The sequence below is a fragment of the Homo sapiens genome, chromosome 14, assembly GCF_000001405.40.
Source record: "Homo sapiens chromosome 14, GRCh38.p14 Primary Assembly".
In the NCBI taxonomy this organism is placed as follows: Eukaryota; Metazoa; Chordata; class Mammalia; order Primates; family Hominidae; genus Homo; species Homo sapiens.
In genome coordinates, this window is record NC_000014.9 from 88,611,462 (window position 1) to 88,636,908 (window position 25,447).

Consider the following 25,447-nt stretch of genomic DNA (forward strand, 5'->3'; position numbering starts at 1 on the left):
ACTGTACTTGAATTTCACATCCATTTTCTTCGACATTAGCAACTGGGAGATACTGAAAGGAAGTTTCAAAATATTTTAGTGTGGCCAGAAAATTTAATTACATATGGTATTATCTTTTATCTACCTGACATAATTGAATTATTTTTAAAAATCTGCCATTTATATTGTAATCTTATGACCAAATATTTATTGCTTAAAACTAGTCAACTTTTTAAACTGAGATATATGGTATATATGGATACAAAGCAGATAATTAAAACAATTTTTGGTTCTGTTCATTCAGCGAATAGCACCCAGTCCTGCCTGGCAGAAGATCATGCAGTTTGGAAGTTTTCATGTACTGATGAAAGATACTCTACAGAACTTGTCAAATCTTTGAAACTTGGAATATATTGCTTTCATAATATGAAGTTTTATTGCCTATCTATCTGAAGTGTCTAATTTTTCAAGTTTGTAAGTTTATTATGTGGTTTTAACATTGGGTGTTTTTGTTTTGTTTTTACTATGAAAAGACAGCTTAAGGAAGAGCTAAATTCTGTTAAAATATTTGGGGCATGTTTGTGCACTGCTGTTGTGAGGATCAGCATATGAAATTGACATCATGGTTAGTCATGGTACTGCAGCTTAGGGGGCTACACGGTTGCTGTGTGAGTGGAGAGATGCAGTGAGGCAGTTGTCATTATTCTAAAAATTGTACTACTTTCACTTTTCCCAAAGATTATATAATGTTCATAATCCACCATGAAAACAGCATTGGCCAAAGGTACTGAGGCTGCTTAAAATATTCAATTCTGCTTTTTAATTTTTAAGTGAATTTAGTTTGAAAAGCATGATTATACAGGCCTCTCAGGCTGAGTGCTACTTTGGTAAAGTTCCCAGTTTTCCTGCCTTCTGTGACAGGATGAATGAGGTGGGTATGGACAGTGGAGGCAGCTGGAATGGCAAGTGCAGAAAATAGGAACAGTTCTATACAGTGCTCTCATTTACTAATAACATAATGCCTTCTAAATAATTTTTTTGGGAAACTACATTATCACAAAATTATACAAATTTTTTTACAAGTATTTACATACTGTATCTGAAAACAGACTTTAAAGTCACAAGATTATAAATGTACATATATATTCTCACATTCTGAAAAATAACATTCTCAGAATCCACAGAAAATATACTTAGTTACTACTGAAGATAATTTTTGAAATGTAAAAATTAGATTTAAATAGTATATTTTAAATGACAGAACTATAATTACAGAGATCAGATCAGATAGGTAAACTGCAAGATAGATAGGATGAAACTTTTGGCCTACTGTATTACTTACAGAGTTTTTTTGTGTGTGGTTTTTAAAACTGTTAAGGCAAGAAGTGTCAAATGCTTTAGAGTTAAATAACAGATCACTGATTTCAAAGACTTGGTGTATAGTGTTAAAAATTAAAGCTTAAAAGGTGGTTAGAAAAGTGGATTAATGCAAAAGGGGTAATAAAGACTGCAACATTCTCAGGACCAAATTAAACTGCTAAAAAAAAAAAAAAAGTTCATTGACTTGCTTAGTCGTATACTCAAATGATGATAAACCTACATGTGCAAAGGCTCACGTTTAAGATTGTCAAGCCAGCAGTCTACTGTTGTGTTGCCATTGCTTTTCCATTGGGAGAAGAAAGAATTAACCAGTCATTAAACCATTTGGTAAGTTGCACTTTGCTGTGCTGATCCCACAGGAAAGGCTTGAAACACGAGAAGCAGCAAAGACAGAGCACACAAGTGCATAAGGCTGTTGTCTTCGGCTTGGGTGAAATGACAGTTCCTCTTCATTCTAAAGGTTTACTCCATTGAATTTAAGGCATTTGTTCATTCCAGTGTTGAGATGCTTTGCATCTCTGCAGAAGAAATTTATTTTAAATTGTTTAAATATCTGGAAATACTTTTAGCTATCATTTATAAAGATAGTTTTGTTCTCAGTTTCACTATAAATTATAGAACAAATGGGAAACAAGGGTTTAATTTAGTTCAGCCATTTTACAAGGAAATAATAAAATACTAAAATCTGATTGTTTTTTGCTATTTAATAGCCACTGCCCAGACACATATTTAAGAGTTTAATCTTTCAGTTGCTATGGCTTATGAACAAGCTAAGGTTGACCATAAAACATTTGTTGGATGACGTGGTTTAAAATGATCACCACAAAAAGGGACCACAAAAAAAGGAAGGAAATGAGCATGGTTGGCGATTGGAAGCAAGGGTACCAGAGGGCACAGTGTGCTTTGGCATGCATTTTATACATAAAATGAATGGAACAAAAGGTGCCAGAAGTCCCAGGTTACACAATCAGGAGCTTAGATACTGCACACAAAAATAATTATCTGGGTTAAAAAAGTAAACATAGGGCAGATTCTATATGGCCTATCATGTTTCTTCACCTTCCCCTCGTTGCTGGCTGATACAGCGAGGTGGTCAGCTGATGACTACTTAGTCAATATGACCTTTAGTCGTGAAACTGACAGCAGCAGTGATTAAGGCTGACTTAATCAGGTTGGCCACTTTGAAGGACAGAAATGCAGTGGAAACAGTTTTATTCTATGTAGTTTACATGCTTAAGGTTACAGAGTTTCTACCTGCACTGTAATGGAAATATAATTTCTCTGTAGCCAAAAGCTGGCAAACTTGACCCAGAGGGAAAATTTAAAACTGCAGCAGGCTCAAATGTAGAGTATTTTTCTTTTTATGGGCAGGTTGTTCAGGGATTTTTTTCCTCCTTTAATTTATTGACTGACTGTAAATACATGAGTAGAAACTTAATAGTCATGTATTTCAAAATTTGGCTTAATTTAGGAGAATCCACTGATGAACAAGTACCAACTTACGTTTCAAGCTTCTTAGCCCCATAATCAGTCCTTCAGCCACAGCTATTTAGAGCTTTAAAACTACCAGGTTCAATCACTGGTTATGCTTTCTGTGATGTAATTTAGTCATTTCTATTTTTAGTATTAACCAAGTATTAGACACAGAAAATAGGTATTAAGAATCTTCATATATCCTGTCAGACCAAATGGGATTCCAGGAACCTAAAGCGATCTATTATGCTATAAAGATAATTAACACATTAAAAACTCATAGGGTCAATACAGCATCTTAAACCTCACACTTAGAAAAATATATTTTTAAATAGCAGTCTACATAATTTTCAATCTTCAGGAAACTACAGATAGGCTAGACAGCGAATTCCTGAATGATGAGTAGTGATCTTTGGCAGCATTTAAAGTGAAAAGAAATAAGGATCTAAGAATTCAGCCCTAATCCACTAAAAAAAGGAATTCTAACTGACAAGTTTTTACAAATGGAGTTGGGCTCATTCATTTTGGAAATAAACCTATGGAGTGGCACACATCTAAACAAATTTTCCCAATAGAAAAAAGGCTATAAAAATTTTATTCCAAGAGTGATTAAATTGTATAATGTTGTATATGTGAATTTAACACTTTTGTTTACATGTTAAACAAATGTGTATATATTAGACTACATTAAATATGCAATTCTTTCTTCCAGTTAAATACTGTTGCTCCCTAAAACCCTTACATTGTACACCATTGGGAATGATTGTTCATCATACTACTTTTCCATTAGTGAGGCTACAGTTATGTTTTAAATGTGCGATTACAGAGATGGCATCTGAACATAAACTGATGGCTCGAAAATGAAAATGGAAATGTAGCAGCCATATACTGCTAACTTTGGATCTGTTCCTGAATTCAAAACTACTAGGAGAAAAGTGTCCTTTATAAAAAAGGACCTTATTAATGCCTAAAAAACATCATATTCTCTAGGAAAGCTTGTGTCTGTTTCCTTAGGGAAAATGTTTGCCTTTTAAAAACTGTGATCCTTTAGGATGATCATGACTTTCCCTTTCCTTATGGAAATGCAAGAATAAAATATTTCATTAAACAATGAACCTTGAAAATAAAATATAAACATTAAGAAACCATTTTGCTAAAAAGATAATGAAAATTATCCAAATTGGGTTTTTGAGTTCTTCTGTAAAGAGTGCTCTACCCTAAATTTTCCCAGCAGGTCTGCCGAAATCACACACTTCCCAATACAGGGGGACTTGGCCTTTACCATCAAGTATTCGATCCTTCCTTGAAATGGCATTATCTGGCAGTGTATGGATTACGGATTATACCCAGTGCATATAGCAAATATTTTGAACAGATCAGTCTTTCACTATTTTGATGATTCTGGGCATTTCTCCCTGTTACAGTCTTGGGTTAGCACCACTTGACCATGCAGGGTTGGGTTTTGGTTTTTCTTCTCTGTAATTCTGGTCTCAAAGTTAATTTCTGTAGTCATCTCAGCATCTCTCAGTGAGGTGTATGTACACATTTCCAGACAAATAAGCTGCAATCAGAGAAGAAAATTGCAGGGAGTTAATTATGTTTTTAGATTTTCATAACAGTTTAATATTTTTCAGTTGTGCTTTCAGGTTACATGTGTAATATTTTTCCTCTTTAACTCCTTTTATTCTGTATTTGCATAAATATGAGATTCTGAAGAGCCATCTGGTTATACTACCTTCTACTAATGTTGACTAGCTGATTTCATAAACCAAAGCTGTAGGAGTTGTTGTATTAAGTCTCTTAACTAGTAACATAGTCTGCTCTTCATGGGCTGAGAAAGTTACTAACCTGCAGTCATCACCTCCAGCACTAACAACATGTCGATCACCACTGGTAAATCGAATATTTGTCACATGGGGCGAATGACCCAAGAACCTTTTGTGTTTTGCCTAAAAAACAATGACAGACAAGCTCAGGGCATTTGGTGCACACAGAAGTCAAAGGCTCTTATTAGGAACTATAATCTCTATGACAAGAGCTGTGGAGAGAGTAGGGAGTTAGCACCGCAGCCAGTGATTAGAATGCTTTTCAGCATGAGTAGTGGATCTGCAAAACCAGGCTGTGTGGGCAGTCAGATGTCTCCAGGTACTCTGACCATTTTTCTCTAAGGAAAAGCATTTGAAATTTGATAACTGATTATAGGTTTGGTGAAAAGCTAATTACAGCTTTTGTAGGATGGTTCCAAAGATGGTATTACTCGAGGGAGAGGATTTGTTTCTAATAGCTTTTATTTCAAAGTAAATAGATTTAGAAAGTTTGGGGAAAAATTTAGAAATTAGGACAAAACATTTTAAATATATGGGGAAAAGTGCTGATGATAAGACATCAAAATTAGGAGTAAACTGATAATAGTAAACAAAACACAAACTTACAAATTTTTCTGGACATGGGAAGTCAAATAACTTAACCATGCCAAAGTCATCTCCTGTAACAAGACTGATTCCTGAATGAGATACACAGGCACAGTTGACATCAGCTTTCTCAGCATGTCTGGACCAGATTCCCAAAACCTCATCTCCTAGAATACTAGAGGGAAGGAACAAAAGAAAACTCATCATGGCAAGTGCGGGCAGGTTGACTATATTCAAAAAGTTTCTTGGCAATTAATCTCTAAGTACCCTATCATGTTACTTAAAATACAGGAAGTAAATTATGGTAAGTTGTTTGGAGACCTGAATTTCATCAGGATATCAACTCCTGCCTTTTAAAAATGACATTTTATAATTTGAAGGGTTTCTAGATTAATCTTTTTAAGATTAAAGTAGTACTTTATGAAAACTGATAGAACTATTTTTTCTTTTTTTTTTTTTGAGACGGAGTTTTCGCTCTTGTTACCCAGGCTGGAGTGCAATGGCATGATCTCGGCTCACCGCAACCTCTGCCTCCTGGGTTCAAGCAATTCTCCTGCCTCAGCCTCCCGAGTAGCTGGGATCACAGGCATGCGCTAACATGCCCGGCTTATTTTGTATTTTTAGTAGAGACAGGGTTTCTCCATGTTGGTCAGGCTAGTCTCGAACTCCCGACCTCAGGTGATCACCCCCGCTCGGCCTCCCAAAGTGCTGGGATTACAGGCTGAGCCACCGCGCCTGACTGAAAACTGATAGAACTATTTTTCAAATTAAAAGTGCTACTTGGCTGGGTCCAGCAGCACATACCAGTAATCCCAACATTTTGGGAGGCTGAGGCAGGAGGACTGCTTGAGGCCAAGAGTTTGAGACCAGCCTGGGCAATATTGTGAGATCCCTATCTCTACAAAAATAAAAATGACTTATGACATAGGAATTAAAAAAATTTCAGAGATGGGGTCTTGCTATGTTGCCCAGGCTGGTATCAAAACTTCTAGGCTCAAGTGATCCTCCCACCTCGGCCTGCTACATCAGAGATTACAGGCATGAGCCACTATATGCCTGGCTGATACAGGAATTTGATGGCATTTTTCATTGGCCAAAAAAATGGATAGTCATGGTTACCTGTCATACAGCCAGGAAATTTGAACAAATTTGGAAGCTTTGACTTCTAATAGATTCAAGATAGCATTCCTTTAGATAGAGAATTAATAACAGTTGCTTAACAGCACCCAATACCTTTTTGCCAGTCATTAAATTTAGCATTAAGAAAAATATCAGGGTATCTTTAAAGTTAAAACTTTGATTTCCTTAAAAAAAAAACTTGATAAATCATGGAAACTGATAAAACATGGAAATATATTCAATAAAAAGGGGTCCCAACATGAACATACCATTTCAAAATATGGTAACAAAAACTTGAAACTCAATTACTATTCCTTATTGGAATGGCTCTAACAGTTCAGAAATAGGATTTTCTAACTGGCCTTCAAAGTCAGTTCTTGCCTTGTGAATATATAAGTATTTACCTAGTCCATGTAGCCCAAGTAATTCTGTCAATAGCGGCATGATCCATAAGATGTTTTCCTGAAGGCACTTCATAGACATGCCGTTTATAGCAGCCACTAGAGACCTTTTTCATCAGATTAAAATGGGACAAGAATTCCATTAGGTGAGAGACAAAATCCACAGGGGGTTTACAGAATACTAGCATATTGCTACTTGATTTACATGTCTAACATTATTAAGTATGCAAAAGATCACTACAAAAACTTAATAGGAGAAAAGCTCTGATAAGTGGGGGAGGAAAGGGGAGCTGTAGGTCAGAAGGTACAAAGGGAGGAGTTGAGAAGCTGGAGCTCTGGAGCTCAGGAACTTTAAATGCATTCACTAACACGAAATGTAAAAGCAGAAGAACTTGCCACCTGGGTATACAGTATTGGTACTGTACCTGGAGATAACTGCTATCTGCAGAGAAGTCCATTTGAATGACAAAGCTTGGAATGTCTTTGCAGTAGCTGATTCTGTTAAGAGTGGGGCCCAGCGTTAGGTCATAAAAATCCACTGAGTTCTCACTAGAACCTACTGCCAGATACCGGGAATCCGGACTAAATCTGAATCAAAACAAAACGTAAAAAGTATTAGACCACATGAAGTATTATAAATACTTAAGATCAGTGACTTTTCCTTTCTAGTTCTTAAAAGTAACGTGTGATAAGGCCTCAAATAGATTTACCTGTCAGACACAACTGATCATGTATACTGAGATTGTCTGGGTTACATGAAATAAGGAAGCTTTATATTTTACTTAAATTTTAAATATTTCCCCAATTGTCATCTCCCAATTCCTTTAAAAACGTCTAATGGCTTAAAAAAACTTTCTTAGGCCAGGCCCAGTGGCTCACACCTATAATCCCAGAACTTTGGGAAGCGGAGGCGGGCAGATCACCTGAGGTCGAGAGTTTGAGACCAGCCTGACCAACATAGAGAAACCCTGTCTCTACTAAAAATACAAAATTAGCCAGGCATGGTGGTGCACGCCTGTAATCCCATCTACTCGGGAGGCTGAAGCAGGAGAATCGCTTGAACCCAGGAGGCACAGGTTGTGGTGAGCTGAGATTGCACCATTGCACTTCAGCATGGGCAACAAGAGCAAAACTCCAACTCAAAACAAAACAAAACAAAATTTAATTTTTTAAATAGAGGCGGGGTCTCACTATGGTCCCAAACTCCTGGCCTCAAGCAATCCTTCCCCCTTGGCCTCCCAAGGTACTGGGATTACAGGTGTGAGCCACAACACCCAGTCAGAACATCTCAGCTTTTAAAAGCCATTAGCATTACATAATTAATAAGCTAACAATTCATTAAGATAGTTTTCTTCCATCTGGAAAAAACGTTGTCTTAATATTAAGCAAAGAACACAGCCCAGCTTAACTAACCTCCAGTTATTAAGGTGAAATGACACAACTTGAATCTTGGAAGAAGAATTTTTTTTTTTTGAGACGAAGTCTCGCTCTTGTCTCCCAGGCTGGAGTGCGATGGCGCAACCTCCGCCTCCCGGGTTCAAGCGATTCTCCTGTTTCAGCCCCCTGAGTAGCTGGGATTACAGGCGCCTGCCACCACGCCCGGCTGATTTTTGTATTTTTAGTTGAGATGGGGTTTCACTATGTTGGCCAGGCTGGTCGAGTACTCCTGACTTCAGGTGATCTGCCTGCCTCGGCCTCCCAAAGTGCTGGGATTACAGGCATGAGCCACCGCGCCCGGCCTGAAGAACTTATTTAAAAGACAAAGTGAAATGCTATTTGCCTAGCAATCTTTGGAGTCATATGGGACAATTCAGTCTCTTGAAATGGCCCATGAGTCTTACTGAGGTACGATAGAGACATGTAAAAGCTAAGGGAAGCCACTGTTACTATTTTATATATTGAAGTTCTGAGGAAGGTTTCATTTGTAAAAGGATTTTACTGATGAAAAGTGTACAAGCTTTTGACAGACCTAGATTCAATAATCTTATCTACTGATCACACGGAAGTACTCCGTAAATGGTAGCCACTGTTGAAAAATGCTTAAGCACTGAAAAACAAAGGTTTAAGAAACATTTAAATTAATTTGGATTCTGGAACATTTAATCAATAGGTATTGATTAAATTAATGAACTACATATTCCCAAACTGAGGTTACTAAGAGAAGATATGTTTGAAATCACAACTTTAGTTTTCCAGGGTGACAACTTTTGAAGGGCAGATAGCTCTCTTGTATTACAGTGGGAGATACCTCTTGGTGGGATGAACTTAATGGACATGGCTAAGTGTTAACATGAATTCATCAAACATTACCTACTAGTACTTGCTATTATAGTTGGTGCCCAGTGGGTTTATAATTTAGCAAGAAGAATTAAGTAGTATACAAACAGCCATATTTTAGCATACAATTTATAATACGGGAAATGCTACAGGCCCTGGGGACCTCTTTTTGAAGGCAAGGCTATGGAAAATTTTACAAATGGAAGTTAAATCAAGTATATACTAGAAACTCTATTCCATTTGTTCACTAACCTGATATCATGGATTGCACATCTCCTGTCTCTCTTCTTTCCCCATATTTTTAGAGAACTCACTAGTAAAATGATAAATTCTCCATTTTTCATTCCAATAGCCACCATGTCCCCTTCAGGGCTGTAACACACAGTACGAGCAGCATGTCCCAAATTCACTTTGTTTAACATCTTCTGCATTTAAAAAAAAAAAAAAAAAGAGTCATAGGAAACATTAAGTGAAGTACTTCTAAATTATACCAGTTTCCCCTCAAAATGCTCAACAGAATTCTGGCAGTTCTTTAAGTACTAGCAATTTAGAACTTCCAACTTTTCTTTTTAGAAGTTGTAACCTCTTTTAAAAAAATTATCTGTACTTACTTTATCAGCAATATCCCAAAGTCTCACTGTCCCATCTTCTGCAGCAGAAAGGAAAAAATCCCTGGAAGGATGTGTTGCTAGTCCCCAGATTGGCCCATCCACATGACCGTTAACTAAAATATTACAAGCTGCATTTTTCTCTCCAACTTCGATTATTTCAGCATTCCTTGTCCCAACAAGGATCTTGCCCTGAAACACAAGCAGGACCAATACAGTGAATGTAATACAACAGCTGCTTTTCTTCTTCATAATATAAAAATGACCCTATTGACCTGCTTTCAGAGAACTTTTTGCTTTGAGCTAATCTAGTAGCAAGGCAGTCATTAGCTCATGCAAATTTTTCTATGACTACAGGCACACATCTATCTGTAAGCACAATGGGCTAGATTACATATTAGAGTCCATGCTACAGAATAGAACTTTTCTGTGGCAGTACACCTGGATTCTTCAATAATCAAAGTTTTTATTTGATAATCTTAGGATTTCCAAACTGGGGTCAGTGCAGTGGGATATAGGAAAAAATAATAGAATTTATTTTTTAGTTAAAAAGTAAAAGCTTAACTACAATTTAATATGCAGGCTGAAGATAATATCCGTATGATTTATAAATACACTTAATAAGTACAAACACGCTCAAAAATTTTCATAGGAGTTGTAGTTTTGAATTTTTATTTTGAAATTGACACATAATTATACATATCTATAGGGCATAGGGTAATACGCATAACCATCACCTCAGACATTTATCATTTCTTTGTGATGGAAACTTTCAAAATCCTCTCTTGTAAATACCTGAAAATACATAAATACGTGATTCTTAACTATAGTCATCCTACAGTACTACAGAATACTAAAACATACTATTCCTATCTGGCTGTGTAAACTTGTATCCTTTAACCAGTCCTTCCCTATCCCCCTCCCCCTCCCCCTTGTCCGCCTCCAGTAACCACTATTCTACTCTCCACCTCTGTGGGATCAACTTTTTTAGTTTCTGCACAGGAGTGAGAACATGTATTTATCTTTCTGTGCCTGGCTTATTTCACTTCACATCATGTCCTCCAGTCTCATCCATGTTGCCACCAAGAATGACAGAATTTCATTATTTTTTATGGCTGAGTAGTATTTCATTGTTTGTTTACTGCACGTTTTATCTAGGGAATGTGTGTTTTTTTAAAAAATGGAGACAGCTGTCCTAATATGAGTCAACTGCCAAGGGCTTTCAATTATGTCTACTAGAGTTGTTAAATTGGCAGATTCTAGAAAATATTGGAGGTTTACATACAGTATTTAGACAGAATAGCTTCCTAGCTTATGCACCACACTGGTGCTAACTTTGGCAAAGAAAGCAGCAAAGACAGAGTAATGTTGGCAAGCAAATCCATCGTTATGCATTATTAAGTATTGTTCATTAGGCTGCAAAGGGTGAGGGAATCACAGTAATAACCACTTTCTGTTTTCTGCTGCACTGTATCAGCTCATGGAACATCTTACTTTGCCTCTGCACACAGAACGAACACAATCTGTGGCTTGTCCTGTCTCAAGCCTGAAGGCACGGCACCGCCTCAGTTCCTGATCCCACAGTTTAACCGCTCCTCCTTCTTTTGACCTAAGTAAATAACCAAGCCAGAGTAAGTGTTCATTATTGGCTACTATAATTTTTATTATAAACAAATACCAAGTTATAAGCAGAATCTTTTTTTTTTAAAAAGGCCCTGATATTTATAATTTACCTCTAATATTCTTGTAAACTTTCTATGGCAATTTGAGGATATACTATATCTCAGTCAAAATAAACATCCAGTTTCAGTGAATTTTATTTTGAGAAATACTCTTTTTTTCTGACATGAGCATAATTTTATTTAGCCTCTACAATACATTACAATACATTATCCTCTCTCATAATACTTTTTTTTTTTTTTTTAAGATGTAGTCTCGCTCTGTCTCCCAGGCTTGAGTGCAGTGGCATGATCTAGGCTTATTGCAACCTCTGCCTCCCAGGTTCAAGCGATTCTCCTACCTCAGCCTCCCGAGTAGCTAGCATTACAGGTGTGCACCACCACACCCAGCTAATTTCTGTATTTTTAGTAGAGATGGGGTTTCACCATGTTGGCCAGGCTGGTCTCAAATACCTTGACCTCAGGTGATCTGCCTGCCTCGGCCTCCCAAAGTGCTGGGATTCCAGGTATGAGCCACTGTGCCTGGCCTCATAATACTTCTTGATTAGGAAGATGTAAAAAAACAATTTTATTAAAAGGATAATGGAAATGTAAGGCAAAATAATAGAATTACAAATGCTATGCTACAGAGTTGATTTATTTATTTTTTTGAGACAGAGTGTCGCTCTGTCACCTGGCCTGGAGTGCAGTGGTGTGATCTCGGCTCACTGCAACCTGTGCCTCCCAGGTTCAAGCGATTCTTCTCCTTCAGCCTCCCAAGTAGCTGGGATTACAGGCACCATGCCTGGCTAATTTTTGTATTTTTAGTAGAGATGGAGTTTCACCATATTGGCCAGGCTGATCCCAAACTCCTGACCTCGTGATCCGCCCACCTCGGCCTCCCAAAGTGTTGGGATTACAGGCGTGAGCCACTGCAACTGGCCCAGAGCTTATTTTTGAAGGCCAAAACAGAAGCATATTTATTCCCTATCAGGTGTTAAAATATCTCACTGGAACAGTTTAGCAGGCTTCTAGTGAGTGGGGGTGTGCAGGAGTAAATGACGTGGGAAATACAAGTGTTGGAGGACGAAATAGAGCCCATTTATGGATTTTATTCCTGGAAGGGCTGAAAAATGTATTCCTTCCTTTTCTGCTAGATGAATTGCTTGTCTGAAAGCATGCCTATGTGCATTCTTCCTTTATGTAAAAGGCACAAATTCTGCGCTTGTGTTTAATTAACATATGTGGGTTCTTTCAATCCTGTATTGAAATGTACTTCTTAGTCAACTATATGTCACATTTTTTTTTGTTTTTGTTTTTGTTTTTTAAATGGGGTCTCACTCTGTCACCCAGGCTGGAGTGCAGTGGCACCATCACAGCTCACTAAAGCCTTGACCTCCCCAGGCTCAAGTGATCCTCCCACCTCAGCCTCCTGAGTAGCAGGGACTACAGGCATGTGCCACCACACCCGGCTAATTGTTGTTTTTTATAGCGATGGGGTTTCACCATGTTGCCCAGGCTGGTCTTGAACTCCTGGGCTCAAGCGATCCACCTGCCTCAGCCTCCCAAAGTGATAAGATTACAGGTGTGAGCCACTGTGCCTGGCCTACATGTCATGTTTCAACATGCATATGACTATGTTGGTGACAAATCAAATCATAAGTATCTGGTTACTGTTGGGAGATTTGAAAATCACTCAGAAGAGACCTCTTCTCAAATTTTGAGGTCTTGTATAAAACAGTTTAAATTTGCCTCAAGCAAAAGGAAACAAGGCAGTTCTCTCTAGTTCCCTCATCCTTTTCTAAAGCAACAATGTGCATTCTACTCCTTAGAATCCATTCTGAACAAAAAGAGAGCAGGCAGTCAAAATACAACCCTGGCTCCAGATTCCCCCATGGGCCTCCTACTCAGCAAATCATACACAGGCATACAGACATTAAGAAAAGTAACTCAACTTGTAGGACAACTACCTATCCACACCTCAGAAAAAGTATCACCCCAACATGAAAAAAATTGGAAGTGAATTAAGACCAGAAATGAGAATCAAATAGAAGGCACATAAAAGGTAATAAAGGAGAAGCATATGAGGAGGAAGGTCGGAGAGGACACTCTGTGTAGCCTAGAAACAACTAGAATAATTAACTGCAAACCTCAGGTAGGTCACAAATGCATAAATATTCTGTGAAAAGAAAGAGGACTCACGGCCTTTCCTTTCCCCCAGTCACGATAAGTCCATCTCGCAGGGTGGTGTACATGGCAAACACAGGCCCGTTGTGAGCTCTCGCCACGATTCTACACAATATGTGATCTTTCCACACACAGACATCACCACTGATGGTACCTGTAAACGTCAAGTTATTCTGAAAAGGAGTGGGGGAGGGGGAGACAAACTCATCAAAAGTTCAAATAGAGTTTAAATAGATAATTTTCTATGTATGTGTAATGCTGTCTCACCCTTGATACAAAGAGCATGCATCGTGTAGTGGCAGCAGCACTGAATTCACGAGTCAGGAAACCTGAACGGGAGGCTTAGCTTTGTCAGGACCTTTTCCTTTCCAAGTCTGTTGCTTATTAGCTAGAATAACCTTAGACAATTCTTCCCTTCCAATTCTAACATACTATAATTCTAGGGTTTATTTTTTATTTTTTTGAGACGGAGTTTCGCTCTTTGTTGCCCAGGCTGGAGTGCAATGGTGCGATCTCAGCTCACCACAACCTCTGCTTCCCAGGTTCAAGTGATTCTCCTGTCTCAGCCTCCCAAGTAGCTGGGATTACAAGCGCCAGCCACCACGCCCGGCTAATTTTTGTATTTTTAGTAGAGACAGAGTTTCACCTTGTTAGCCAGGCTGGTCTTGAACTCCTGACTTCAGGTGATCTTCCCGCCTTGGCCTCCCTAAGTGCTGGGATTATAGGTGTGAGCCACTGTGCCCGGCCTGAGCCACGGTGCCTGGCCTGGTCTTATATTAAGAATACCCAAAATGTTCAACTGAAATTTGACATGGCACAAACATTTCAATAGTCTTTTTCTCAAAAATGTAAGTGTACTTAAATATTCTAAAATTATAACTTTTCCTATAAGTATTGCATAATCACAAAAACAAAAAATGCACTTAGTTTTTCGATGCACCAAAGGATTTATACAGCCTAGCCAATGCAGGATATTAAAGGAAAGAGATGTGGATTGGAAGCCACAGGTCCAGATGAGATGGAATAAAGTGAGAGGAGAGCAGGTCTCCTGAACACCCTTCTGTCAGGGCCAGGAATTGTGCTATTTCCTTCTGTCTCACTACCTCCTTCTTCCCTCGAAGTAGAGACACTGGCCCAGAGCACTTCCAGCTGTATGATAAGCAGTGTGTTAAATGATAAAAAGCAAAGGAAATCCTAAACCCTAGTACCACCTTAAATCATTTGAAAATCATGTTTCTTGATTTACCTTTCTCTCTGACAAATTTTTAGGACTATGAAGAACTACTAGGAAGACAGAAATTTTAGGATATTTAGGGTGACAATTAGAAGATTAAGGAAGGCTTTTGAGTATAACAGTAGTCCAAGGAATCAAATGTTCATCAGAATCCTTATTATGGTGGCTCATGCCTGTAAACCCAGCACTTTGGGAGGTCAAGATGGGAGGATCACATAGCTTAGGAGCTTGAGACCACCTAGGCAACATAGCGAAACCCTGTCTCTACTAAAAATGAAAGAAAAATTAGCCTAGCATGGTGGTTCCTGCCCTGTAGTCCCAGCTACTAAGGAGGCTGAGGATCACTTGAACCTGGGAGATGGAGGCTACAGTGAGCTATAATCGCACCATTGCACCCCAGCCCAGGCGACAGAGTGAGATACTGTGTCAAAAAAAAAAAAAAATCCTTTTCCCCCTCTCATTAACATTCTTTTCACTCCCTAATTTCTGAAAGAACTAGATTTTTGAAAGATGAAATATATGCTTGACCAGGGCATGTAATGATTAGCAGATCACAGTATCATCTCAACAACATTCATGTGGCTGATGATCTAAGGCAAGAGAATGTAAAGTAGTCAAAGTCACACTATGTGCATTTTAAGAGACATACTGCACCAAATGCAATAGCGAGCATGGTCTGCATCCGGGCATCTTCCAGTGTGCTCAGTAGCCCTTTTTTGCTAAGAAGAGCTCTTCCTGCCAGGGTCCAGAACTTCACATGTTTTACTCCCACTGAGACAAACTGGGTATCTGAATCTGGTCGGAATTCTGCCACAAAAATACGTTGATTGTGACCAGCTCTGCTGGCAATTTTGGCACCTGACAAGATACAACAAAATTATCTAGGTTATTACAAGAACCAAGCTAATCAACAGCATCAAACAAATATGTAAAATACATAGTTCAAAAAACAAAGGCTTAGAAGAGAGGCCAATGGCCCCTGCTCTACTACCTAGCAATACATGATTTACAATTATTTGTGTATTGAGTCCTTTTCACTTATCTTCGCTCCATTAACTTTTCTTTATATAACGTAAATGTTTTGTCTAAAGTGTGGTAGGTAATATTATCCTGCTGATCTGCCATTATCATTAGAAATATACATAATTTTCATAAGAATCTCCAAAACCAATCAAATCATTAATAATAAATACATAGTTTCTTGCTGGAAGAAAATAGCAGTGAATCATTTATAATGCTAATAATGGTTTCATTAATTTATCTGTTTTGTGAGGTTACAGTTCCACTGGGCTTTTAAAGTGAAATATACCTACAGTACCACTGTGTACAGTATATTGCATAGGCCTCCACTGAATGATTGTTTCAACCACCAACTTTAAGACAAATATTAAATACAGAATTCCTACTACCTTTGTATTCTTGTTTTTTTAAAAATCAAACACACAAAAGAATCCTACCTTCCTGCCATCTCCAAATGGTAATAGTATGTTCTGGGTCTAGTCCCACAGACAGCAATAGTTTGCCAGTAGCACTGAAGCTGACTGAACATACTCCCTTTGAATGGTAGCATCTTAGGATAGATAAAGTCTGCTTGTTCATTGCATCCCAGATGTGAATAGAAGGAGCTGTAGCTAAATAAAGATAGTATCAAAAAGTTGTAATCTACCTGTTATAAATATTTCTGTTTCTAAAGCTTATGCATATTCATCTGTGAAACATGGACAAATGTGTACCAAACAAAAACTGTACTTAACAAAGAACAGCTCAAAACTAAGGCTAAATTTAAGAAAGGAAAAGGAGTTTTGGGGGTGGGGAGGAAAGAAAAGGAAAATATATAGAACACTTCTTCAGGCCATATTCCAAATTGCACTTTTGGAAAAACAGCATTTAGACAAGCAAATCAGGCAATCTCAACTTTAAACAATTCAAAACAAATGCATGTTTTATGTATACTTTTAATCTTTATACAATTATATGGAGAACTATACAAATATTAAACAATAAATATTAAACACCAAGTATACATTCAGTACTGATGTTATCTGAAAGAGAAGTGAAAAGCAGACACAAATAGACAAAGGCAGTAGATAGGAAACCACCTGAATAGATCTCAAAAGAAATTTTCAACCATACAGATAGACATCTGGTAAAAAGCTAAGTTCATATCACTTTATAAGACATTTACTTAAAAAGGATTTCATGAGAAAGATAAAACTGCTAATCTTTAAAAAAATGTGGTTATTATTAATCTTGTGTAGCTTGTTTCTGCTGCTTAAAAAATTATCCCAGTTCTCCATATTTTCTAAATTAAAAAAATTATAGTTTTATATTTTCTTTTTTATGAACTGCACCCTATAAAAATGGATAGGTCAATTCAGCAGTTAATTCAATCTCAGAACATAAGTACTTTTAATGAAGCAATAAAAATACTAAAGTGCATTTGCTTCAAATTATAAATGTTATAAATGTTTTAAAAATAGAGAAACATTAAGACAAGCTGCCTTAAATCATTCAATGCAGAAATAAATGTTGGTCTCTAAAGAAAATATTCTGATAAGTTTAGATTATATTTTATACCATCTGCTATTTGTAATACACAATGATAAATTAAATCTGGCAGTTCTTCAAAGCAGTTAAAATATATTAAACCAGAGACTTAGAGTATCATTAAGTAGAAATTGTTCAAAGATTTATGCAACTGTAAAATATCAAAACTACACGGAAACATACATAAAAGTTTATCATATAATAAAATAGGTTATTTATGTTTGTAAAATTTATGACAATAATGTCAGTATTGAACTAAAATTAATATATTATTCATTCATTAAAAGTCAAAGTACCCCAAGGCATAGGTAAACTTAACCTCAATAAAGAATGTTAGGTGGCTTAAATTTAAAATGTAAATATATACCAGATCACTCTATACATTTTGCCAGTGATAAATATTATATAAATATTTTTATATGTTTACAAAATGCACCTCTAGGCAATTCACATGTTATATTTGCCAAATCATGATGAGGTAGACAATAGATTTTCAAGAAATATCACTAACTTTGCCTCCAAATTTAATATGCCACAAGTTTTAAAGTTTTATTTATCTAAATTTAAATAGCAAGTAATCTTAAATTCAATGACTGAGCTTCTCATATTTTTATAAAAAATTAAAGGAGATGGCAAGAAGGTGAAACCAGAATTTATGTTTTAAAACGTATAGGTACGTAAGGTAATGGAATTGTCACACACTTAGACTGTTCTAAACTTACATCAGTAACAGTATTTAAAACTAAAATTACTGCAAATTTTCAGGACCTCTCGAAGTTACTAAAGATGAAACTATGTTTATTAAGTATATTATATTTTCTCCTATCATTTGGAAATGGTCATTCCTGATGCTTGGGTAACACATAAACAATTCTTCCTCCACCTGTTCCAGGAGGCCATGAGGTATTAAGTACCTATCATGGCAGGCATGTTACTGGGGACATCGCATATTTTCTAATGCTTACCTTCTAGGTAGGTACGTTTTTTCCTGAATTCAGCCTCAGAGAAGATAACTGACTTGCCCTAATACAACTCAGAGCTGGGAGAGGCAGCACAGGTATGCTGTTCTCAGTATCCAGGTTCCACTCTTGCTCTTTTCCCCACATGTAGCTCCCTCCAGAAAATCAATCCCAGTAACTTTTCACTACCGTTTTTCACTCTTAGTTTCCAGTATAGAGATGCCATAAGTGTCTCTTTAAATTTTTAATTGGGTCTTACAAGAATCAAAGTTTTAAAGGATATTCTTTATCCCCTAGTTTGCCTTTGATGCAGTATAATAAAAACTGTATTTTTTTTTTTTTTTTTTTTTTTTGAGATGGAGTTTCGCTCTTGTTGCCCAGGCTGGAGTGCAATGGCATGATCTCGGCTCACTGCAACCTCTGCCTCTGGGGTTCAAGTGATTATCCTGCCTCAGCCTCCAGAGTAGCTGGGATTACAGGCACCTGCCACCATGCCTAGCTAATTCTGTATTTTTAGTAGAGATGGGGTTTCTCCATGTTGGTCAGGCTGGTCTTGAACTCCCGGCCTCAGGTGATCTGCCTGCCTTGGCCTCCCAAAGTGCTAGGATTACAGGCATGAGCCACCATGCCTGGCCTAATAAAAACTTTATTTTAAAAGAAAATTTTAACATGGGTCATTAGGTATGCCAAGTGTATTTTGTCCTTTAGTCTCTGTAGTGAGTAACTCCTTACTGCATACTCAGCATCCATTACATCCTTTCTTCCTACCAAGGCTCCAGTTTTATTCAGGAATCTACTCCTTCCTAGAGCGTAAGTGATTCAGGGGAAACAAACTGCATGCTCAACTAATAAGTCTGAGCCCACTGTGATAATACTGCCTCCACTCCCAACCCAGACCTCAGTGATTAGTTTAATAACCCAGACTTAAACCAATCAGCACATGGTATTCCCCTAGTATCTTCTCAGTTCGCAGTTTGCTTTGTGTCCTCACGCAAAGTCAGGCTAAAATGACTCAGTCAGGCTAAACGGAAGGATTTTTAGGTCATGGCTCTGAAAAGGATTTTTTTGCTTCTTTCCCACTGGATAACAGCAAGGAAGCACATAACTCCAATTGCTACTGCAGCCATTTTCATGACCACAAATGCAACCAGCCTTATCGGTGAAGCCAACACTGTGGATAGCAGAGCAGAAGAGACGGAAAGTCCCTGGGTTCTGGATGACATCATGAAACTCCTGAAGTAGCACACTCCGGAGGCTACCCTCCCTCTTCATTCTTGTGTGCTAAGGAATTTCCTTATCCTCTGCTGTAAAATGCAGACACCCACTGAAGTTATTTGATGGGCAACTGCCTGTCACTACAAATACTACCAGAGAGTGAGTTTTCTCTGCTTAATTGCCTTAAGGATCAAAAATATCAAATTCTGAGGTGCAGTCTTAGGAGGGCTGAAATTACTTTATCAGAGACAAAAGATATTCCCATAGTGTCCACTGAAAACATATCTAATGTATTCAATGCTAACTTTTCTTTTTTCTTTTTGAGACAAGGTCTCACTCTGTCATCCAGGCTGGAGTGCCATGATGTGATCATGACACACCGCAGCCTCGAATTCCTGGGCTCAATTAATCTACCTACCTCAACCTTCCGAGTAGCTGGATCTACAGGCACATGCCACCACACCCATCTAAGTTTTGTATATTTTTGTAGAGATGGGGTTTGCCATGTTGCCCACACTGGTCTTGAACTCCTGAGTTCAAGCAATCCACCCACTTCAGCCTCCCAAAGTGCTAAGATTGCCGGGCACGGTGGCTCACGCCTGTAATCCCAGCACTTTGAGAAGCTGAGGCGGGTGGATAACCTGAGGTCAGGAGTTCGAGACCAGCCTAGCCAACATGGTGAAACCCCATCTCTACTAAAAATACAAAAAGTTAGCTGGGCGTGGTGGCAGTCGCCTGTAATCTCAGCTACTTGGGAGGCTGAGGCAGGAGAATTGCTTGAACCCGGGAGGCAGAGGTTGCAGTGAGCTGAGATTGTGCCATTGCACTCCAGCCTGGGCAACAAGAGTGAAACTCCATCTCAAAAAAAGAAAAAAACAAAACAGAAAAACCCAAAGTGCTATGATTACAGGTGTGAGCTACTGCGCCCAGCTCATATCTCTTCTAATGTATTTATTCTCCCACATTGCAAAGTGACAATTTAAAATCTTTATCCTTGTTCCAACCTAATACTCATTCCCCACCTCCTCAATCTCAGTTGATGATACAGGGAAAATGGAAGTCATCAGACAGTACTTCCTTATTTTTCCATCCCCAAATCTACCAGTCTTCTTATATTTGTACAAGAAAGAATGTCCAATAAATTTCACTCCTTATATCTGTGGATAATTTCTTCCTGTCAAACTGATTTCTCTCAAAGTATTCCCCATCCCATTTGGCTCACTGTTCAAGCAAAAAGTTCAACTGGCCTTGATTCCTCACTATGTCATACGCCCATACCCAATTAATCAGAAAGGATAACTGGCTTTACTCCAGAATACACCCCATATTTGTCTCGTTCTCTCCACATTCACTCCTGCCACCCTGCTTAACTGTTTTTTGCTTGGACTACTATAACGGCCACCTAATTTTCCAATTTTCTCTCTTCCCCCTCTACATTCTCAATAATATAGTGAGAGTGGTTTTCTCAAAGTATAAATTCGGTCATATCACTCCCTTGTCTAAAATTCTCCAGTGACAGCCTCTGCACTTAGCATGAATCCAAACTCTTCTCCCTGAGCTACAGCATCCTGCATGAGATGACCACTATCCCTCTCTACATTCATCTCAGAGGCCTTCCTCCAGTCACACTGACCTTCCAGTTTCTTGATCCAGCCTCAGGGTTTATGCAGGAAAGATTTAATATAAGCAGGGTACTTGCAGGGTACCAAAAAGCAGTGCAAAGGCCCAAGGTTACTGTCATCAGAAGGGCCTGCTTGCTGGGCTAGCTCTTGGCCAGTGTGTAAGAACTTCTGAAGTGTTCTCCATGTTGACAAAGCTCTTTTGTCCACCTGGGGCGCTGAACACTTGCTTTCTTCAGGGCGTTTGGTATTTTGGTAGTTAAGGCTGGTCTTTATCCCTATGTGACCAACCCCCAATAAAAACTCTGGACTCTGAGACTTCAGTAGGCTTGCCTAGGCAGAAACACCTCATGTGTGTTGCTGGATTTGACTGCTGGAGGAAGAAGCAGGTTCTGTGTAATCCCTGGCATGAGGGTGTTGGAGAGACATAGAAACCCTGTAACTAGATGCTCCGGATTCCACCTCATATGTCTTTTCCCTTTTCTGTTCAATGTAATAAACTAAAGCCTTAAGTACCTCTGAGTCCTGTGATTTCTCCTAGTGAACTGCTGAATGTGTGGGAAGTCTTGGGACCCCTGAAACTGGTCTGAGCCTGCAGCCCCCAGATCATGCCTCAGCTATCTACTCCTGGCATAGCTGAATGTTACCACCTCTGAAAAAACAAATACTTTGTTTTATTGCCATCATCTCATTTATTGTTTTTAACACATTTCTTGCCATCTCATCTCAAATCATCAAGGTATTTTAGTTTTTATTTATTTATTTATTTATTTTGTAGAGACAGGGTCTTGCTGTTGCCCAGGCTGGACTTGAACTCCTGGCCTCGGAACTCCTGTCTCAGCCTCCCAGAGTGCTCGGATTACAGGTGTGAGCCACTATACCCCACCTGTCATCTCATTTGATTACAATACAATCCATGCTTCACTGTGCCTTAAAAGTGTGATATTCAAAAACTATTTTTGTTTTTTGTACCCTTGTCTTGACATGATGGAGATTTACTGGTTAAAAAACAAAATAAAATAACAAGAGATAACAGATAGTGCTCAAAGTCTGTGAATTATAATTGTGTTACTGGAACTTGCAGAGTACCAAAAAGCAGTGCAAACAGATGAGTGTCATCTATAGCCTCTGTAGCTACTACACACCTCTGCCATTGTAGCACAAAAGCTGCCACAGAACATATATAACTTCATAAGCATGGTCGTGTCAAATAAAGCTTTTATTTAAAATGCTTATACTTTTATTAAAGTGCTTAAAACAGTGCTGAGAACAGGGTCTCACTATGTTGCCCAGGCTGGTCTTGAACTCCTGGGCTCAAGTGATCCTCAGACCTTGGCCTTCCAAAGCACTGGGATTACAGGTGTGAGCTACCATGCTTGTCCAAAAAAAACCATTACTATTACCACAGATTGAGTTCAGAATCATGACATTAAAATAATGTATTCTTCATTAAAAAAAATCCGCAAGTTTTTTATAGAGTAACAAGATACTTGATGATATGGTTTGGATATATGTCCCTGCCCAAATCGCACATTGAATTGTAACCCCCAGTGTTGGAGAAGGGGCCTGGTGGGAGGTGATTGGATCATGGGGGCAGATTTCCCCCTTGCTGTTCTTGTGATTGTGAGTTCTCATGAGATCTGCTCGTTTAAACGTGTAGTACCTCCCCTTTCTCTCTCTTCCTCCTGCTTCCACCATACAGGACATACCTGCTCAAGCCCTTTGCCTTCCACCATGATTGTAAATTTCCTGAGGCCTCCCCAGCCCCATTTCCTGTACAGCCTGTGGAGCTGTGAGCCAATTAAACACATTTTCTTTGTAAATTACCCAGTTCTTTAATAGTAATGCAAGAACGGACTAATATACTTGAACTTAAGTTTAATATGCACTATCATTACCAAACAATATAAATAAAGCAGAAAATGTTTAGTTTTCCTTACCTGACATGTCTGCTGAATCACCTATAATGGAAAATAATTATCTATAAATAACATAAATCTGTAAAATCTGTAAAAACCCAAATATCATATTAATTATAATTTAAACTATTATATACAAAATTGGTTTTATTACATTTGATTGAGTAAACTGTAAGAGAAGGCACTCATTTCAATCATACATACTTATTAACATGCTATGTATGATCTTTCAATCTTCCTTTGGATAAAAATTTTGTTTTCTTTGCATTTAATGAGTTACATAAACTTTTAATTATAATAACTTTTAAAATGATACTGATATGATTTAAAATTATATTACCCTCATTTTGGTTTATAAAAATGTACTGCTAATAATAGACTCTCTGGAGTTTTAATGACAGCAAAGGTTACTATATAACTCAAGAAAGGAAACAAGTTCTTTCTTTCAACTAAAGATTTTCCGTATGCATCTTTTAATGCATCTCTGTCTCCAGGGAAGAATTAGATCTAAACCTTCTGAGCTGAGAGACATGATGGCAAAGCTTACTGTATAACTCAAGAAAGGAAAAAAGTTCTTTCTTTCAACTAAAGATTTTCCATATGAGTACAAGTTTGCCAAGAAAGAAAATGTGAAAGCTCATGCTCATTATATTTGTGGTAGAAATACCTAATAACCAAACTTTTCAAAGTAGCAGTCTTTAGAACAAGAAAGAAAATAAAAATATAGGAATCCATTGAAGACAGGTGATTGTTTTTTGCTTTGGTAAAGCTTTATATCCATATGAAATAATGATTTAAAAAACATATTGATAACATAGGACCATAGTGCCTTGACCTGGAACATGAGGAAAAACAGAATAAAGTACTTAACTCTGCTGAGCAGACCACATAGGAAATATCATTTTTAGTTATGAATATGCTCTATTAACAACCAAATGGTGAGAGGGCTTGGAACTTTGCCACCTGAAGCCTGGGTGAAAGACTGGGAGTGTTTGGTCTGGAGAGACTAGGTTTGTCTCTGAATATTAACAGGGTCTGGGACAGAAGTACAAATGAAAGCTTGAATGTCATCGGCCTAAATATTTTAAAGCTATCCATCAAGATAAAACTTATCAAATAAAATATATTCTAGCCTCTTACCTTGATGAGTACACTCCTATAATGATCTGGAAGGCAGATACCAATTTAGAACTCCTTAGAGTTTGGGCAGCATGAGACAACCTGTCTCATTCTCTTCCATCCCACACCACAAAGAACCATGGAAGCTCATGTGTGGTGCTATGAACTGGATGTCTGTCTTCCCCCAAAATTCATATACTGAAACCCTAATCACCAGTGTGATGGTATTAGGAGGTGTGAAGGTTATGAGGATGGAGCCCTCACAATGAGATTAGTGTTCTTATAAGAGACAGGAGAAAGATAATCTTTTTTCACCATGTGAGGATATAATGAGAAGACAGCCATCTGCAAATACAGAGAAGGCCCTCACCACAACTTGACCATGCTGGCACCCTGATTTTGGACTTCCAACCTCCAGAGCTGTGAAAAATAACATTTCTGTTGTTTAAGCTACAAACTCTGTGGTATCTGTCATGGCAGCTCAAATTTCTTAAGACATGTGGTTATCCTAGCTACTGCATTAGAACTCCATCCACCCCTACACAAAGAACAGCTTGGCCACCCCTCAAGAGTATACACATTGGTTGTACAGTCTGTCACTGGGAGGACAGACGCAGAGAAAAGGCTCATGCAGGGCCATTAGTAGGTTCAGGACCATCTGGTAGAGAATTCTGGGATTTCATATACCCAAAACATGGTCCAGTGGAGAAGTAGGCTCCCCCATGGAAAGCAATCCCCTTGCTCTCATGTACACCTTGTTCCATGGAATGTAGTTGGAGGGTGCCAAAGGAGACCTTTTAAAAGAGAAGCAAAAGGCTGGGCACGGTGGCTCATGCCTGTAATCCCAGCACTTTGGGAAGCCAAGGCGGGCAGATAACAAGGTCAAGAGATCAAGACCATCCTGGCCAACATGGTGAAACCCCGTCTCTACTAAAAATACAAAAATTAGCCAGGCATGGTGGCGTGCACCTGTAGTCCCAGCTACTCAGGAGGCTGAGACAGGAGAATGGCGTGAACCCGGGAGGTGGGGGCTGCAGTGAGCCGAGATTGTGCCACTGCACTACAGCCTGGGCAACAGAACGAGACTCTGTCACAAACAAAGAAACAAATAAAAGATAAGAACTAGATAAGACTCAGGGAGAATATGCTAGCTGTCTCCAAAACTGGAAGATAATGCCATGGGAATGTGATTAGATGTTCTAGATACACCAAGAATGAGGGCCAAAGAGTAGCAATCACAGACAGATTTCTGTTGTATATGAAGAACCACTTTATAACTAAGCTTCCCAGGGAAACGTTTACTTCATTAGGTATTAAGTGGCAGCAGGGTTCAAACACACTG

The 25,447-nt window shown here is 38.4% G+C and overlaps 2 protein-coding genes across 53 annotated transcripts in view, besides 1 other annotated feature; one reads left to right on the forward strand and one right to left on the reverse strand.

The window, feature by feature from the left end:
• Positions 1–16,135, forward strand: part of ZC3H14 (zinc finger CCCH-type containing 14) — a 64,560-nt gene extending 48,425 nt beyond the window's left edge. For all 29 annotated transcript variants that reach the window (NR_136936.2, NM_001326297.2, NM_001326315.2 and 26 more), the window contains one exon: positions 284–16,135. Coding sequence is in view for 28 of the 29 variants with exons in the window: in NM_001326297.2 (NP_001313226.1) it covers positions 284–290 (7 nt within the window). In the remaining variant the exon portion in view is untranslated. The remainder of the gene's footprint in view (positions 1–283) is intronic.
• Positions 970–25,447, reverse strand: part of EML5 (EMAP like 5) — a 180,523-nt gene continuing 156,045 nt past the window's right edge. For 10 of the 24 annotated variants that reach the window (XM_017021066.3, XM_011536533.4, XM_017021064.3 and 7 more), the window contains 10 exons: positions 23,008–23,028; positions 16,185–16,358; positions 15,377–15,585; positions 13,509–13,666; positions 11,143–11,257; positions 9,652–9,840; positions 9,293–9,465; positions 7,189–7,351; positions 6,767–6,870; positions 3,396–5,418 (listed from right to left, as the gene is read on the reverse strand). In XM_017021066.3, coding sequence (XP_016876555.1) covers positions 5,052–5,418; positions 6,767–6,870; positions 7,189–7,351; positions 9,293–9,465; positions 9,652–9,840; positions 11,143–11,257; positions 13,509–13,666; positions 15,377–15,585; positions 16,185–16,358; positions 23,008–23,028 — 1,673 coding nt within the window. In that variant the 3' untranslated portion in view covers positions 3,396–5,051. Of the gene's footprint in view, positions 5,419–6,766; positions 6,871–7,188; positions 7,352–9,292; positions 9,466–9,651; positions 9,841–11,142; positions 11,258–13,508; positions 13,667–15,376; positions 15,586–16,184; positions 16,359–23,007; positions 23,029–25,447 lie in introns of those variants that run through there. The other 14 variants (XM_047431057.1, NM_001411033.1, NM_001385116.1 and 11 more) reach the window with 11 other exon arrangements.
• Positions 6,893–7,514: an enhancer, noted in NCBI's record as "OCT4-NANOG hESC enhancer chr14:89084698-89085319 (GRCh37/hg19 assembly coordinates)". NCBI's record gives its function as "activates a minimal SCP1, AML or CMV promoter by ChIP-STARR-seq in naive H9 embryonic stem cells {active_cell/tissue: H9 hESC(naive)}" and the evidence as "EXISTENCE:reporter gene assay evidence [ECO:0000049][PMID:30033119]".